Raw genomic sequence first — 18,703 nt, 5'->3', positions numbered from 1 at the left:
TATGTAGTTCCAAAATGTTTTTGTTATCCCATAAAGAAACCTCATAAGCATTAAGCAGTCACTCCCTGTTCCCTCTTCCCCCAAGTCCTAGCCAATTATTAATCTGCATTCTGTCTCTATGGATTTACCTATTATGGATGTTCCATATAAATAGAATCATAAAATATGTGTTCTTTTGTGTCTGACTTCTTCCAATTAACAAAATGTTTTTGAAATTGGTCCACATTATATTATGTAACAGTAATTTATCCCTTTTAATGGCTGAATAATAGTCTATTGTGTGTGTGTGTGTGTGTGTGTGTGTGTGTGTGTGTGTGTATATATATATATATATATATATATATATATATATATACCAGTTTGTTATCCATTCATCCATTAATGGCCATTTGGGCTATTTCTACCTTTTGTCTCTTCTGAATAGTGCTGTTACAAACATTCATGTATTTGTTTGAATATCTGTCTTCAATTATTTTGAGTATATACACCAGGGAGATGGATGGGGATAATTGGACTGTATGGTAATTCTATGTTTAACTTTCTGAGGAACCTCCAAACTATCTTCCGCAGTGACTGCACCATTTTACATTCCCATCAAGCAGCACAGAAGGGTTCCAATTTGTCCACATTCTCACCAAGACTTGTTATTTTCAGTTTTATTTTTATTATAGCCATCTTACTGGGTGTGAAGGGGTATCTCATTATGGATTTGATTTGTATTTCCATAATGAAAAAAATATTGAGTATCTTTTTATGTACTTGTTTGCCATCCATATATCTTCTTTGGGAAAATGTCTATTCAAGCCATTGTCCATTTTTTAAATGGGATTTTTAAATTGGGTTGTCTTTTTGTTGTTGAATTTTAATATTTTTTGCATGTTCTGAATACTTGATCTTTATCAGATACGTTATTTGCAAACATTTTCCCCCATACTTGATAGTATCATTTTATACACAAAGATTTTTAATTTTAATAAAATTCAATTTATCTATTTTTTCTTTTGTTGCCTATGCTTTTGGTGTCATATTTAAGAATCCATTACCAAATGCAAGAGCATAAAGATTTACCCCTGTGGGATTTTTTTGTTTGGTTGGTTGGTTGGTTGGTTTTGGTTTTTTGTTTGTTTGTTTGTTTTTTGTTTTTTTTTGTTTTTGTTTTTGATACGGGACCTCACTATGTTGCCCAGGCTGATCTCAAACTCCTGGGCTCAAGTGATCCTCCCACCTTAGCCTCTCAAATAGCTGGGGCTACAGGCGTGTGCCCTGTGTTTTCTTATAATAATTTTATACTTTTAGCTCTCACCTTTAGGTATTTTAGCCATTCTGAGTTAATTTTTTATATCTGGCATAAGATACGAGTCCAGCTTTTTTTTAAAATTTTATTATTATTATACTTTAAGTTTTAGGGTACGTGTGCACAACATGCAGGTTTGTTACATATGTATACATGTGCCATGTTGGTGTGCTGCACCCATTAACTCCTCATTTAACCTTAGGTATTTCTCCTAATGCTATCCCTCCCCCCTCCCCCCACCCCACGACAGGCCCCCGTGTGTGATGTTCCCCACCATGTGTCCAAGTGTTCTCATTGTTCAATTCGCACCTATGACTGAGAACATGCAGTGTTTGGTTTTCTGTCCTTGCGATAGTTTGCTGAGAATGATGGTTTCCAGCTTCATCCATGTCCCTACAAAGGACATGAACTCATCCTTTTTTATGGATGCATAGTATTCCATGGTGTATATGTGCCACATTTTCTTAATCCAGTCTATCATTGATGGGCATTTGGGTTGGTTCCAAGTCTTTGCTATTGTGAATAGTGCCGCAATAAACATACTTGTGCATGTGTCTTTATAGTAACATGATTTATAATCCTTTGGGTATATTCCCAGTAATGGGATCTCTGGGTCAATTAGTATTTCTAGTTCTAGATCCTTGAGGAATCACCACACTGTCTGCCACAATGGTTGAACTAGTTTACACTCCCACCAACAGTATAAAAGTGTTCCTATTTCTCCACATCTTCTCCAGCACCTGTTGTTTCCTGACTTTTTAATGATCGCCATTCTAACTGGTGTGAGATGGTATCTCATTGTGGTTTTGATTTGCATTTCTCTGATGGCCAGTGATGATGAGCATTTTTTCATGTATCTTTTGGCTGCATAAATGTCTTCTTTTGAGAAATGTCTGTTCATATCCTTTGCCCACTTTTTGATGGAGTTGTTTGATTTTTTCTTGTAAATTTGTTTGAGTTCTTTGTAGATTCTGGATATTAGCCCTTTGTCAGATGTGTAGATTGTAAAAATTTTCTCCCATTCTGTAGGTTGCCTGTTCACTCTGATGGTAGTTTCTTTTGCTGTGCAGAAGCTCTTTAGTTTAATTAGATCCCATTTGTCTATTTTGGCTTTTCTTGCCATTACTTTTGGTGTTTTAGTCATGAGGTCCTTGCCCATGCCTATGTCCTGAATCGTATTGCCTGGGTTTTCTTGTAGGGTTTTTAAGGTTTTAGGTCTAACATTTAAGTCTTTAATCCATCTTGAATTAATTTTTGTATAAGGTGTAAGGAAGGGATCCAGTTTCAGCTTTCTACATCTGGCTAGCCAGTTTTCCCAGCACCATTTATTAAATAGGGAATCCTTTCCCCATTTCTTGTTTTTGTCAGGTTTGACAAAGAGCAGATGGTTATAGATATGTGGTATTATTTCTGAGGGCTCTGTTCTGTTCCATTGGTCTATATATCTTTTTTGGTACCAGTACTATACTGTTTTGGTTACTGTAGCCTTGTAGTATAGTTTGAAGTCAGGTAGCATGATGCCTCCAGCTTTGTTCTTTTGGCTTAGGATTGTCTTGGCAATGCAGGCTCTTTTTTTGGTTCCACATGAACTTTAAAGTAGCCTTTTCCAATTCTGTGAAGAAAGTCATTGGTAGCTCGATGGGGATGGCATTGAATCTATAAATTACCTTGGGCAGTATGGCCATTTTCATGATATTGATTCTTCCTATCCATGAGCATGGAATATTCTTCCATTTGTTTGTGTCCTCTTTTATTTAATTGAGCAGTGGTTTGTAGTTCTCCTTGAAGAGGTCCTTCACATCCCTTGTAAGTTGGATTCCTAGGTATTTTATTCTCTTTGAAGCAATTGTGAATGGGAGTTCACTCATGATTTGGCTCTCTGTTTGTCTGTTATTGGTGTATACGAATGCTTGTGATTTTTGCACATTGATTTGGTATCCTGAGACTTTGCTGAAGTTGCTTATCAGCTTAAGGAGATTTTGGCCTGAGATGATGGGGTTTTCTAAATATACAATCATATCATCTGCAAACAGGGACAATTTGACTTCCTTTTTTCCTAATTGAATACCCTTTATTTCTTTCTCCTGCCTGATTGCCCTGGCCAGAACTTCCAATATGTTGTTGAATAGGAGTGGTGAGAGAGGGCATCCCTGTCTTGTGCCAGTTTTCAAAGGGAATGCTTCCAGTTTTTGCCCATTCGGTAGGATATTGGCTGTGGGTTTGTCATAAATAGCTCTTACTATTTTGAGATACATTCCATCAATACCTAGTTTATTGAGAGTTTTTAGAATGAAGGGCTGTTGAACTTTTTCAAAGGCCTTTTCTGTGTCTATTAAGATAATCATGTGGTTTTTGTCTTTGGTTCTGTTTATATGATGGACTACGTTTATTGATTTGCATATGTTGAACCAGCCTTGCATCCCAGGGATGAAGCCAACTGGATCTTGGTGGATAAGCTTTTTGATGTGCTTCTGGATTCGGTTTGCCAGTATTTTATTGAGGATTTTGCATCAATGTTCATCAGGGATATTGGTCTAAAATTCTCTCTCTTTTTTTTCTTTGTTGTGTCTCTGCCAGGCTTTGGTATCAGGATGATGTTGGCCTCATAAAATGAGTTAGGGAGGATTCCCTCTTTTACTATTTATTGGAGTAGTTTCAGAAGAAATGGTACCAGCTCCCCTTTGTACCTCTGGTAGAATTCGGGTATGAATCCATCTGGTCCTGGACTTTTTTTGGTTGGTAGACTATTAATTATTGCCTCAATTTCAGAGCCTGTTATTGGTCTATTCAGGAATTCAACTTCTTCCTGATTTAGTCTTGGGATGGTGTATGTGTCCAGGAATTCATCCATTTCTTCTAGATTTTCTAGTTTATTTGCATAGAGATGTTTATAGTATTCTCTGAAGGTAGTTTGTATTTCTGTGGGATCAGTGGTGATATCCCCTTTATCATTTTTTTATTGCGTCTATTTGATTCTTCTCTCTTTTCTTCTTTATTAGTCTTGCTGCTGCCTCACAATTCTATCTCGGACTGCTGTACTAGCAGTGAGCAAGGCTCCATGGGCGTGAGACCCACCGAGCCTTGCATGGGATATAATCTCCTGGTGTTCCATTTGCTAAGACCATTGGAAAAGCACAGTATTAGGGCGGGAGTGTCCCGATTTTCCAGGTGCAATCTGTCATAGTTTCCCATGGCCAGGAAAGGGAATTGCCAGACCCCTTGTGCTTCCTGGGTGAGGTGATGCCCCGCCCCGCTTCGGCTCACACTCCATGGGCTGCACCCACTGTCCAACCAGTCCCAGTGAGATGAACCTCGTACCTCAGCTGGAAATGCAGAAGTCACCTGTCTTCTGTGTTGCTCACGCTGGGAGCTGTAGACTGCAGCTGTTCCTATTCAGCCATCTTGGAATGATCCTGTTGAATACCAGCTTAATTTAATAGTATACAAAACCCAGCCGTTTACAGCTCTGTTGCCCCCTTTATGCTATTATCACAAATTACATCTTTATACATTGTATACTCCTTAACGTAGATTTATCATTGTTGTTTTATGCATTTTTTCCTTTAAATTAGATAGTAAAAAGAGTTAAAAAAAACGTAAAACTCAATATTACTTGCTTTTGTAGCTACCTGTATAGTTTACCAGTGTTCTTATTTTTTTGTATAGCGTGGGTTACAGTGAGTGCCTTTTCAGTTTTTCTAAAGAATGCCCTTTGGCATTTCTTGAAGGGCAATTCTACTAGTGATCAGCTCCCTCAGTTTTTGTTTATCTGAGAATGTCTTGTTTTCGCTTTCATTCTTTGAAGTATAGTGTTGCTGGACATAGAGTTCTGTATATGTGTTGACAGATGTTTTTCTTTTTCTTTCAGCAATTTAAATATCACATTTCACTGCCTTCTAGCCTCTGTGGGTTCTTAAGAGAAATCAGCTGTTAGTCTTATTGTTTTTTTTTTGTTATGTAAAAAGTCAATTTTCCTGCTTTCAAGATTTTCTTTTTGTTTTTTGGCAATTTGACTATAATGTGTCTGATTGTGGATATCTTTTAGTTTATTCTATTTGGAGTTCATTGCACTTCTTGGATGTTTAGATTCATATTTTTTACCAAATGTATGAAGTTTTTTAGCCATCATTTTTTCAAATACTCTTTCTGTTTTTCCTCTCTTTCCTCTCACTTTGGAAGCCCCGTTATGTGTATATTAGTATGTTAGGATATAGGCTGTATATTAGAGTGTAGGCTCTATTATTGTATATAGTAGAGTGTAGGCGGCTGTCCTCACAGCCTCTACTGATCTGGGATGTGGAGGATGGTAGGCAGCCACTTTAAAATGTCACAGTATCCTCTTACTACAAAGCATCAGTTCTTTTCTTCACCAAGTCTTCCTCTCTGGTTATTGTAACAATTTTACTAGATTCCAGAGTTCTGCAAAAGTTTATTCTGACAGTTTTTGCCAGCTCATTAGTTGCTTTTGAGGAGGGATGTAAGTCTGGAGTACTCTTAGTTTTGGTGCCCAATAGTATCCATTCTGAGATTAAAAAATAAAAATAGCTATGATATAATTCTACTTGAAAGGTAGAAATTTTCCGAAGAGACATGAAGTCCTTGCCCACGCCTATGTCCTGAATGGTAATGCCTAGGTTTTCTTCTAGGGTTTTTATGGTTTTAGGTCTAACGTTTAAATCTTTAATCCATCTTGAATTGATTTTGTATAAGGTGTAAGGAAGGGATCCAGTTTCAGCTTTCTACATATGGCTAGCCAGTTTTCCCAGCACCATTTATTAAATAGGGAATCCTTTCCCCATTGCTTGTTTTTCTCAGGTTTGTCAAAGATCAGATAGTTGTAGATATGTGGTGTTATTTCTGAGGGCTCTGTTCTGTTCCATTGATCTATATCTCTGTTTTGGTACCAGTACCATGCTGTTTTGGTTACTGTAGCCTTGTAGTATAGTTTGAAGTCAGGTAGTGTGATGCCTCCAGCTTTGTTCTTTTGGCTTAGGATTGACTTGGCGATGCGGGCTCTTTTTTGGTTCCATATGAACTTTAAAGTAGTTTTTTCCAATTCTGTGAAGAAAGTCATTGGTAGCTTGATGGGGATGGCATTGAATCTGTAAATTACCTTGGGCAGTATGGCCATTTTCACGATATTGATTCTTCCTACCCATGAGCATGGAATGTTCTTCCATTTGTTTGTGTCCTCTTTTATTTCCTTGAGCAGTGGTTTGTAGTTCTCCTTGAAGAGGTCCTTCACATCCCTTGTAAGTTGGATTCCTAGGTATTTTATTCTCTTTGAAGCAATTGTGAATGGGAGTTCACTCATGATTTGGCTCTCTGTTTGTCTGTTGTTGGTGTATAAGAATGCTTGTGATTTTTGTACATTGATTTTGTATCCTGAGACTTTGCTGAAGTTGCTTATCAGCTTAAGGAGATTTTGGGCTGAGACGATGGGGTTTTCTAGATAAACAATCATGTCGTCTGCAAACAGGGACAATTTGAGTTCCTCTTTTCCTAATTGAATACCCTTTATTTCCTTCTCCTGCCTGATTGCCCTGGCCAGAACTTCCAACACTATGTTGAATAGGAGCGGTGAGAGAGGGCATCCCTGTCTTGTGCCAGTTTTCAAAGGGAATGCTTCCAGTTTTTGCCCATTCAGTATGATATTGGCTGTGGGTTTGTCATAGATAGCTCTTATTATTTTGAAATACGTCCCATCAATACCTAATTTATTGAGAGTTTTTAGCATGAAGGGTTGTTGAATTTTGTCAAAGGCTTTTTCTGCATCTATTGAGATAATCATGTGGTTTTTGTCTTTGGCTCTGTTTATATGCTGGATTACATTTATTGATTTGCGTATATTGAACCAGCCTTGCATCCCAGGGATGAAGCCCACTTGATCATGGTGGATAAGCTTTTTGATGTGCTGCTGGATTCGGTTTGCCAGTATTTTATTGAGGATTTTTGCATCAATGTTCATCAAGGATATTGGTCTAAAATTCTCTTTTTTGGTTGTGTCTCTGCCCGGCTTTGGTATCAGAATGATGCTGGCCTCATAAAATGAGTTAGGGAGGATTCCCTCTTTTTCTATTGATTGGAATAGTTTCAGAAGGAATGGTACCAGTTCCTCCTTGTACCTCTGGTAGAATTCGGCTGTGAATCCATCTGGTCCTGGACTCTTCATAGGCGTGGGCAAGGACTTCATGTCCAAAACACCAAAAGCAATGGCAACAAAAGCCAAAATTGACAAATGGGATCTAATTAAACTAAAGAGCTTCTGCACAGCAAAAGAAACTACCATCAGAGTGAACAGGCAACCTACAACATGGGAGAAAATTTTCGCAACCTACTCATCTGACAAAGGGCTAATATCCAGAATCTACAATGAACTCTAACAAATTTACAAGAAAAAAACAAACAACCCCATCAAAAAGTGGGCGAAGGACATGAACAGACACTTCTCAAAAGAAGACATTTATGCAGCCAAAAAACACATGAAAAAATGCTCATCATCACTGGCCATCAGAGAAATGCAAATCAAAACCACTATGAGATATCATCTCACACCAGTTAGAATGGCAATCATTAAAAAGTCAGGAAACAACAGGTGCTGGAGAGGATGTGGAGAAATAGGAACACTTTTACACTGTTGGTGGGACTGTAAACTAGTTCAACCATTGTGGAAGTCAGTGTGGCAATTCCTCAGGTATCTAGAACTAGAAATACCATTTGACCCAGCCATCCCATTACTGGGTATATACCCAAATGACTATAAATCATGCTGCTATAAAGACACATGCACACGTATGTTTATTGCGGCATTATTCACAATAGCAAAGACTTGGAACCAACCCAAATGTCCAACAATGATAGACTGGATTAAGAAAATGTGGCACATATACACCATGGAATACTATGCAGCCATAAAAAATGATGAGTTCATGTCCTTTGTAGGGACATGGATGAAATTGGAAACCATCATTCTCAGTAAACTATCGCAAGAACAAAAAACCAAACACCGCATATTCTCACTTATAGGTGGGAATTGAACAATGAGATCACATGGACACAGGAAGGGGAATATCACACTCTGGGGACTGTGGTGGGGTCGGGGGATGGGGGAGGGATAGCATTGGGAGATATACCTAATGCTAGATGACACGTTAGTGGGTGCAGCGCACCAGCATGGCACATGTATACATATGTAACTAACCTGCACAATGTGCACATGTACCCTAAAACTTAAAGTATAATTTAAAAAATAATAATAATAATAATAATAAAAAGACAAAAGATAAAAAAAAAAAAAGAAATTTTCCGAAGAGAGAAGAAATATAAACTGATCAGACAGAAAAAAAAAAAAAAACAGAAGAAACATTTTCTAGAAACCAAGTTTCTATAGAGGTAAAAGTATCCATTCAAGCCTATAGGAATCATGGTATTACCACATCTAAAACAGTTTTATGTCATTCATATGACAAACAGTTAAATGTATCATCACACCTGACTAGTAACTTGTTGTAACAAATGCCTAATATAACTCCAATGGTTTTAAAACCTAACTCAGAATCACCTGCTGAGGTTTTCAAATACAAATTTCTGCACCTCCATCCAAAGTTGTGCTATGTGAAGAGAGCCCTGGAATCTATATTTTTATTATGCTTCCTAAGTAAGTATTACGATCATCCAGGTTTGAGAGGGACTGCCTTAAAAGTAAATGAATGGCTGGTGTGAGTAACTTTTTCAAAGAAGTAAATAAAGACTGACCTGATTAGCTAACTTTCAACAGAAAACACTCAGAAATGTGTCTCAGTTCCCTATATCAAACTCTACCCTCTCCTAACCTAGAATCTAAGAAACATCTAAGAGAAAAAGTGGGGGGAATCAAAGTTATTCATTTTGACACTGAATAAATTATTTTAATACCATCATATGTAACTCTGGGAACCATAACATTTTTTAAAATCAGACTTGTTTTGTCCTAAACTTATTGTAAAATGTAACCTCACTAAACAATTTATTTTTGTAGAAAAATGATTATAAATTGCTAACAATAATTAAGTACTTATGTGCAAAGCACCCAAGTGCTTTACACATATGTTATTACTTAATCCTTGTAACAATCTGATAACATAACCAATTTTATCGTTTTACAGATGAGGAAACTGAGGCACACAGTGATTAATTAACCAAGGTCACAGAATAAGTGTCAAGAGCCAAAATACGAATACATGCCAAAGTATATGCTGTACATCATTATAATAAACTCTCTTCCCAAACATGTCATTCGTTAAAAAAGAACTTCATGTTGTAAGTGAGTGCTTATCTCACTGGATATTTTCAAACTTCCTACTCTCCTTTCACAAGTCCCTTTTGAACTCCACTAATTCTGTAGCCACTAGCCACATGTGGCTATTAAACACTTGAAATGTGTCATCTGGATTCAGATGTTCTGGAAGCATAAAATATACACCAGCATTCCAAAACTTAGTGAAAAAAAGAATATAAATTATCACAATAATTTTTATGTGGATAACATGTTGAAGATTCTGGATATTAGCCCTTTGTCATATGAGTATATGGCAAAAATTTTCTCCCATTCTGTAGGTTGCCTGTTCACTCTGATGGTAGTTTCTTTTGCTGTGCAGAAGATCTTTAGTTTAATTAGATCCCATTTGTCAATTTTGGCTTTTGTTGCCATTGCTTTTGGTGTTTTAGACATGAAGTCCTTGCCCATGCCTATGTCCTGAATGGTATTGCCTAGGTTTTATTCTAGGGTTTTTATGGTTTTAGGTCCAATATCCAGAATCTACAAAGAACTCAAACAAATTTACAAGAAAAAAACAAACAACCCCATCAAAAAGTGGGCGAAGGATATGAACAGACACTTCTCAAAAGAAGACATTTATGCAGCCAAAAGACACATGAAAAAATGCTCATCATCACTGACCATCAGAGAAATGCAAATCAAAACCACAATGAGATACCATCTCACACCAGTTAGAATGGCGTTAATTAAAAACCAGGAAATAACAGGTGCTGGAGAGGATGTGGAGAAATAGGAACACTTTTACACTGTTGGTGGGACTGGAAACTAGTTCAACCATTGTGGAAGACAGTGTGGCCATTCCTCAAGGATCTAGAACTAGAAATACCATTTGACCCAGCCACCCCATTACTGGGTATATACCCAGAGGATTATAAATCATGTTACTATAAAGACACATGCACACGTGTGTTTATTGCAACACTATTCACAATAGCAAAGACTTGCAACCAACCTAAATGTCCATCAGTGATAGACTGGATTAAGAAAATGTGGCACATATACACCATGGAATACTATGCAGCCATAAAAAAGGATGAGTTCATGTCCTTTGTAGGGACATGGATGAAGCTGGAAACCATCATTCTCGGCAAACTATCGCAAGGACAAAAAAAACCAAACACTGCATGTTCTCACTCATAGGTGGGAATTGAACAATGAGAACACTTGGACACAGGAAGGGAAACATCACACACTGGGGCCTATTGTGGGGTGGGGGGAGGGGGGAGGGATAGCATTAGGAGATATACCTAATGTAAATGACGAGTTAATGGGTGCACCATACCAACATGGCACATGTATACATCTGCAATGAACCTGCATGTTGTGCACATGTACCCTAGAACTTAAAGTATAATTTAAAAAAACATGTTCAAATGAAAATATTTTGATATATTGGTAAAATATATTTTTTAAATTAAGTTCACTTGGCATTCTTTAACTTTTTAAAAAATGTTCCTACTAGAAAATTTAAACTACCTGGCTCACATTATATCTATTGGATCGCACTGCTGTAGAATTTCTTCAGTGTCCTTTCTACGACTTTTTACCTTTTCCATCTAGCCCCAAATTAGGCTTTTTCTACTTGTATACTTCTGTGAACCCTACAATATGCATCTATTTAAAGGAAATTATAAACTATGCTTTGGTTTTAACACTGGTTGTCTGTGATGAAAAACTATTCCATATATACCATCCTTCCTTAATTTTTCTCCATAACTACTTGCAAAGAGTCAATAAATAATGAAAGAAAAAAGGAGAGACAGTGCAAAAAGCCATTTGATGATAACTCCAATAATTTACCCCCTAGTAGTGAGTGAAACTTAAAGAAACAGAGAAGGTGTATAATTACATGTATCACCACATCACTCTAAAATCTTCATGCCAAGTTACCCATAGCATGGCTAAATGTACACTTACCCATGAGATTAGTGATAACAGATTCATTTTGTAAAAGTTTGTTGTGACTCTTGTAACATTTTCATTTTAAATATGACTGAAATATTCTAGCCTCTTTCTTTAATAGTGCAAAAGGCATTATTAGAAAAATACAGGAAAGGCAGAAGTACCAAGATAAGTGCCACATCTTTTAGAATAGATGTCCTTTTGTCCTCAAAAGTATGTAATTTCCAAAAGGGAAGTTTGCAAAAAAAAAAAATTCCCTTGGACTTACTTCCTACACAATTTCAGAGGTAATAAAGACTTTACAAGTCAATTCCACTGCCAAACTAATGTCTGAATGTCCTCTACAACATTTCCAAGTGTATGTAATGGGAAACACTTTTTCCCAAGGCTGCTAGTCATTGTCATCGTCATTATCGTTGTCATTATTTTTTCTAATACTGAGCTAAAATGTGTTAACCTGCAGCTTTAACCTATTGGTTCTATTTCTGCCCTCTGCTCTTGGGTCATATAAACCAATCCCATTTGCACTTAAAAGTTCTGCAGTTATTTACAGATAGCTGTTCCCCACCTGGAGAATTCACCGGCTCCCACTCCTGTATACACGTCTCGTCTCACTATCTACAAGTACTAAGTGACTTTCCCTCACCCACAGTACTTTAGCAAGTAGCCAAGCAAATGGGAGTTGCACCTCCACTTCTTGTTTAGCTGCAAGTATTCAGCCAGGGATAGGAAACATACCAAACAGCAATTTATCAGCTCCTCCTTATTAATATTGGTCTCCAAGAAACTATGCTTTCTCTCTCACTTCATTTTAAAGTTTTTTAAAAAAGAAATGTTACTAGTCCAATTCAGGGCCTAGTGGAACCAATGCAGTCATGCAGCATGTACATACAAAATCATGAAGTCCCAGGTTGACTGATCAATGCTTCATTTCCACTTCCATTTGTATTGGGAAAGTAGCATATGTGCCTCTTTCAAGCATTCTTAACCAGTATTGGTTGTTTAACTGGAAGACAACAACAAGGAGTTGGTATCAATCTTCAAGCAGACTCATTAGAAAAAAGAAAAACATTGTCTGGTCAGATTTTTAACACAGGTGAAATGTAACCATAGTAACAAATCCATTCAAATAATCATGAAAAGGAGAATTTTTAAGACCCAATAAAATAGACCTATATGTGAAGAAAAAAAGAAAGTATGACTGATGAAAGGCCTGAAGAAATAGCCCTTAGAACATAGTCTCATTCTCTGGACTTTTTCCCTATTTTTCTGACCCTTAACTGTTGATCATTTTGTATGAAAACCATCTTTTGTTTGTTTTGTTTGTTTACCAACATGGCACATGTATACATATGTAACGAACCTGCACGTTGTGCACATTTACCCTAAAACTTAAAGTATAATAATAATAAAAAAAAGAAAGCATGTTTACATAGGCCTTTTATTGCTGGATCTCTACCCAGCTAATTAGAGCCCAATGGAGAAAGAAACATTGAAAATAATCTTGATTAAGCAGCTTCTCATGATTGAAAGCCTTGCTGAAGGTTTAAGACAAAGGAAGATAGCAAAGGATGGAATGTAATCACCCTTGCCTTCCCTCATCTTTGCCTAGTGGTTTCCTAAAGTACTATTATATAAATTACTCAAATGATGCTGTGGAAAATGAGTTAGACAAGACTTTTTAAATATAACTAATTTCTCTCTCTCTCTCTCTCATCCATCTCTGTCTGTCTGTCTGTCTCTCTTTCTCCTGTCTCTTCACAGTGACTGTTTTGAGCCCAGCAGAAAAAGGTAAGATGATGTTGGAAATTGTATTGATCAGGACCGTGTCCTTTTTTTCATCTAAAAGTAAATAACATAAAAGCCTATAGACCGAGCAATTTTCCCAGAAATAAACTTGGGTGAGGAGAAAGTTTAGAATGATGGTTTTCAGGAAGCTTACACAGAGATAGAGAAAAACATTTTCAGTGTCCCCTTTGGCTGTAGGGCAAGAATTGGAAATTATCAGGATTTATGACAGAGAAGGACACAGTTAAGCACTCTGTCTGACATAGTGACCCTAGGCTGTCTCTTTGTTCAACACTGTTGTCCTAGGTATGTTGCCTTTCTGCCCAGTCCATCTCCTCTTTAAGGCATGGAGTAAAGGCCCCAGAAGAGACTTTAAAGGCTAACTCCTTCACCATCACAGTTCCAGTATATTTATTGTGCTCCTCTCTGCTCCTCACCACCATCTTGGCTTGACCTGCAAAATATACTACCTTTCTAAAGAGATTGTGGCATTTTTCCATTTAAAAAGTGTAAGCTAATCATTAGTCTTAATAAACCTTTAGCTTTACATTATTTTATCAGTAATAACTGTGAGTGTTTATGTAGCCACTTTATACAGCCAGTTGAGAACTTCAGGGGAATTAATTGTTATAATTCGTTAACCTACCTAGCATTCATATTATGCTGTTTTAAAGCTCCAATTTGCTGTTATTCATTCAACAGAGGCATTGGCTATAGAGGCAAGAGAGCAGAGTGGTTGGAAGACAGTAGACCATAGTATACAAAAGTGTGAGTTCTGTAGCTAGACTGTCTGAATTCAAATCCTGGCTCTGCTATTTCCTAGTAAATTATTTTACCTCATTGTGTTCATTTTATTCATGTATAGAATAAAAATGATAATACTACCTGTTACATAGAAGTGTCAAGATATAATGAGTAAATGTATGTAGAGCACTTAGAACAGTGGTAAACAGAAGGTACTGGTGAATCAGTGCATGTTTCCTACCATTATTACAAAATTAGAGCAAGTCTTGAGTTGCCTCTTATTCGTATGCATGACCCTTAAGGTCAGAGATCATCTTCTGAATAAAATATTAAATAATTATATATAAATATTTTCCACAATAAATTTTCAAGACAAATTGAGTAGAGGCTTAGATGATACTGTACCATAATAAGAATAATGGCATAAGCCAGTGAGACTTGACTAGAAACAGAGTCATAGTCTAATGACTATCTGGGGTCCCTTCTAATCCTGTGGATTTGTGACAGATCTGGGATGATCTGGAGCTTAGGAATTTAGTAGAGTCCAGGGATGGGGTGATGATTAAGAGATGAATTTAGGAATGAGATGAACATTAGGCATGATCCATCAGATGATTCACATATAATCAAGAATAATGCATTGTCCACAGTTGCTCATCTTCAAATTATATTTTCACAATTCTATGTAATAGGTTTCAAATTATACTGCACTATCAAAGTAAAACACAATACAGTATATGACTGCCAGTAAGAACATTATTTGGCATTGGCAAAAAAACACAAAAAGCAGTGAAATTAAAGCCTCAAATCACATAACCTTTCAGTCTCCAAAGCTTAAGAAAACCATAGTCAAACATACTGCAAAAGTTTTCCCATTTCTTATCTACTTATAATGATTCCTGTACTGGGTTGTAGAGTGTCTCCCTAAAATTCACATCCACCTGGAACTTGTAAATGTGACCTTATTTGGAAAGATGGTCTTTTCAGATATAATCAAGTTAAGATGAGGCCATACTGGATTCAAGTGAGCCCTAATACAGTCATTGGTATCCTTATATGAAGAGGGAAATTTGGATACACAGACACATACAGAGAGAGGACAGCCATATGAAAATGGAGACAGAGTCTGGAGTTATGCTGCCACAAGCCAAGTAACACTATGGATTGCCCGCAACCTTCAGAAACTAGAAAGAGGCAAAGAAGGATACTCCCCTGGGCATTTCAGCAAGAGTATGGCCCTGCCTACACCTTGATTTCAGACTTCTAGCTTCCAGAACTCTGAGAGAATAAATTTCTATTATTTTAAGCCACCCAGCTTGTGGTCATTTATTACCACAGCCCTAGGAAACAAATACAATTCCTGATAAATTTCACTCTCTAATGCACTGTTAAAAAGCATTATATCAGTAGCAAATAACCAGACTTTGGTGTTAGATCTACCTCGGATCAAGTATTGACTTTGCCACTTACTATATATGTGATCTTGGGGAACTTAACTTCTCTAAGTTTCACTTTCTTCCTCTGTGATCTTTCATGGTTATTTTGAGCACTAATGAGATTATGTATGTAAGTCTCTTGGTATAGTGCCTGACACATGATAAATACAAAATAATAGTTAATAGTATTATGATTATGATTTTTATTGTTATTAACATTGGAGAGGATCTGAAAGATCTCTCTTCTAAGAAGCATAACATATTTCAGGATTATAATTCCTTATGACTACTTTTGTGAATAGATTGTCAAAATCCATACATTTGTATTTTATAGGGAGAACAATTCAGAACCAAAGAAGTAAAATATATTGACCTAGTTATGCTGATTCTACTGCACAGAAAGGACTAAAGCTCAGATCATCTGAATCACAATCCTGAATATTATAGATATATAATATCTGCCTTGGTTTTGCAGGATTCAGATACTCTTTTTTTATTTTTTAATTTTTTTGGATAGATAGTAGGTGTATATATTTAGGAGGTACATGAGATATTTTGATATGGGCATACAATGTGTAATAATCACATCAGGGTAAATGGGATATCCATCACTTCAAACATTTATTATTTCTCTGTATTATAAATATTCCAGTTATACCATTTAGTTATTTTTAAATATACAGTAAAATATTGACTGTTGTCACCCTGTTGTGCCATCAAATACTAGATCTTTTTTAAATATGTGAGTTCATATGTTTTCCCATAGATCATACTTTTAAAAACATGATAATGTATTTATTTTGATTTCATAAATATATTGCATAGATGATTTCATTCAGCATCATACTATCCATATTTTGAAGATCATGACTGGGAAATCTTCCCTGCTCCACACTTGAAGTAAAAATCTGGGATGATCTGGAGCTTAGGGATTTAGTAGAGTCCAGGGATGAGGTGATGATTAAGAGATAAATTTAGGAATGATATGAACTTTAGGCATGATCCATCAGATGATGCACATATAATTAAAATAATGCGTTGCCCACAGTTGCTCTTCTGCAAAAAGGTCCATTAATCATTTTAAACAAAAGTTCAACTAATCTAATAATTAATTTGCATTTTAAATGGTTTGCATACTAAATTTTCTGATTTCATTCATAAAATGGTTGTAATTATTTACCTTTTCAGAAACAGATGTAATTTCTAAATAACAGAACTGTTATGGGTCAACTTGTGTCCTCTCAAAATTCATCTGTTTAAGCCCTTACTTTCAGTACTTCAGAATGTGACTATTTGTATAAGGTCTTTAAAGAGGTAGTTAAGTTAAAATGAGGTCAACTAGGGTGGGCTGTAATCCAGTCTGATGTCCTTATAGGGAAAGGAAATCTGGACACAGATAGGTACAGAAGGAAGACCATGTGAAGACACAGGGAGAAGATGACTATCTACATGCCAAGGAGAGAGGCCTTCAAAATGGCCAATCCTGCTGACACTTTTATCTTGGACTTCTAACCTCCAGAATTGTGAGACAATAAATTTCTGCCATTTAGAGACCCAGTCTGTGTTACTTTATTATGGCAGCCCTAGCAAACTGATACAAGAATATTAGGTTTCCATTTGAAAATCCAAAGTGTAGAAATATCTGCTTCTAACAAAAGCAAAAATTGGCAAATGGGATCTAATTAAACTGAAGAGCTTCTGCACAGCAAAAGAAACTATCAACAGAGTAAACAATCTACAGAATGGGAGACAACCTACAGAATGGAAGAAAATTTTTGCAAACTATGCACTTGAAAAAAGTCTAATATCCAGCAGCTATAAAGAACTTAAATTTATAAGAGAACATCAAATAATCCCATTGAAAAGTGGGCAAAGGGCATGAACAGACAATTTTCAAAAGAAAACATACCTGTGGCCGACAAATGTGAATAAAAGCTCAATATCACTCATCATTACAGAACTGCAAATCAAAACCACAATGAGATACCATCTCAGAATGGCTACTATTAAAAAGTCAAAAAATAATAGATGCTGGTGAGATTGTGGAGAAAAGGGAACACTTACACACTGTTGGTGGGAGTGCAAATTAGTTCAACAATTGTGGAAGACAGCGTGGTGATTCCTCAAAGACCTAAAAACAGAAATACCATTCGACCCAGCAATCCCATTACTGGGTGTATATTCCCCGAGTAATATAAATCATTTTACCATAAAGACACATGCAAGCAAGTGATCATTGCAGCACTATTCACAATAGCAAAGATGTGGAATCAACCTAAATGCCCATCAATGACAGATTGGATAAAGCAAATGTGGTGCATACACACCATGAAGTACTGTGCAGCTATAGAAAAGAATGAGATCATGTCTTTTGTGGGAACATGGATGGGGCTGGAGGCTATTATCTTTACCGAACAGAAAATACCACATGTTCTCACTTATAAGTGGGAGCTAAATTGTGAGAACTCATGAACCATGAAGAAGAGAACAACAGACACTGGGTTCTACTTGAGGATGGAAAGTGGGAGGAGGCAGAGGAACAGAAAAAATAACAATTGGGTACTAAGATTAATAATACCTAGGTGACGAAGTAATCTATACAACAAACCCCTTTGACACAAGTTTACCTATATAAGAAACCTTTACATGTGCCCCCGAACCGAAAATAAAACTTTAAAAATAAAAGAAAGATCTGCTTTGTGTCAGATTCTCAATTATACTAACCTTAATTTATTGGTAATACATTAAACATCAGGAAGGTGAGAGGGCACTGAGAGTAAAACGTCTGGGCTACAGTATGATCTTTTAGACTCACCTCCAGACTGTATAGGAAATCTTCAGGTTGGTTTTAATTAGTTATCTCAGTGCTCTCAATAATATATTATTTTATATTTATTATTATAAAATTACTTTATAATTAAGGTTTAGAGATCAGATAAAAGCCTCCCTTAGATGCTAACCCACTCCTAAAAGACATTTAAATATAGATATTTTTGTTACAAAAATATTTATTGAAAAGTCAAACAATATAGAAATCTAGAAAATGAAAATTTCCAGTTATCTTCACACTGCCTCCTCTATCACTATTCATAGACAACTGCTATATTTAGTTTTATTTGTATTTGAGATCTTTTTCTTTGCATTCACATAGAAACATATAAGTATAGGTATGTATATTTATATAGGCTTGGTTGTTTATTTTAATTGAGTGATACTGTGCAT

General features: G+C 36.3%; 1 protein-coding gene across 14 annotated transcripts in view; it reads left to right on the top strand.

Annotated features, from left to right (window-relative positions):
* ZDHHC15 (zDHHC palmitoyltransferase 15) overlaps positions 1 to 18,703 on the top strand; it is a 154,611-nt gene that overhangs the window by 3,913 nt on the left and 131,995 nt on the right. For 7 of the 14 annotated variants that reach the window (XR_001755658.3, XR_938393.3, XR_007068181.1 and 4 more), the window contains exon 2: positions 13,278 to 13,304. The exons of 5 other annotated variants lie outside the window; for them this stretch is intronic. Coding sequence is in view for 4 of the 9 variants with exons in the window: in NM_144969.3 (NP_659406.1) it covers positions 13,278 to 13,304 (27 nt within the window). In the remaining 5 variants the exon portion in view is untranslated. Of the gene's footprint in view, positions 1 to 13,277; positions 13,305 to 13,329; positions 14,070 to 18,703 lie in introns of those variants that run through there. 2 more of the 14 variants (XM_024452342.1, XM_047441869.1) reach the window with 1 other exon arrangement.

Source organism: Homo sapiens, chromosome X (assembly GCF_000001405.40).
Source record: "Homo sapiens chromosome X, GRCh38.p14 Primary Assembly".
Classification (NCBI taxonomy): domain Eukaryota; kingdom Metazoa; phylum Chordata; class Mammalia; order Primates; family Hominidae; genus Homo; species Homo sapiens.
Note: the sequence above shows the minus strand (reverse complement) of the source record. Positions and strands in the feature narration are given on the sequence as shown.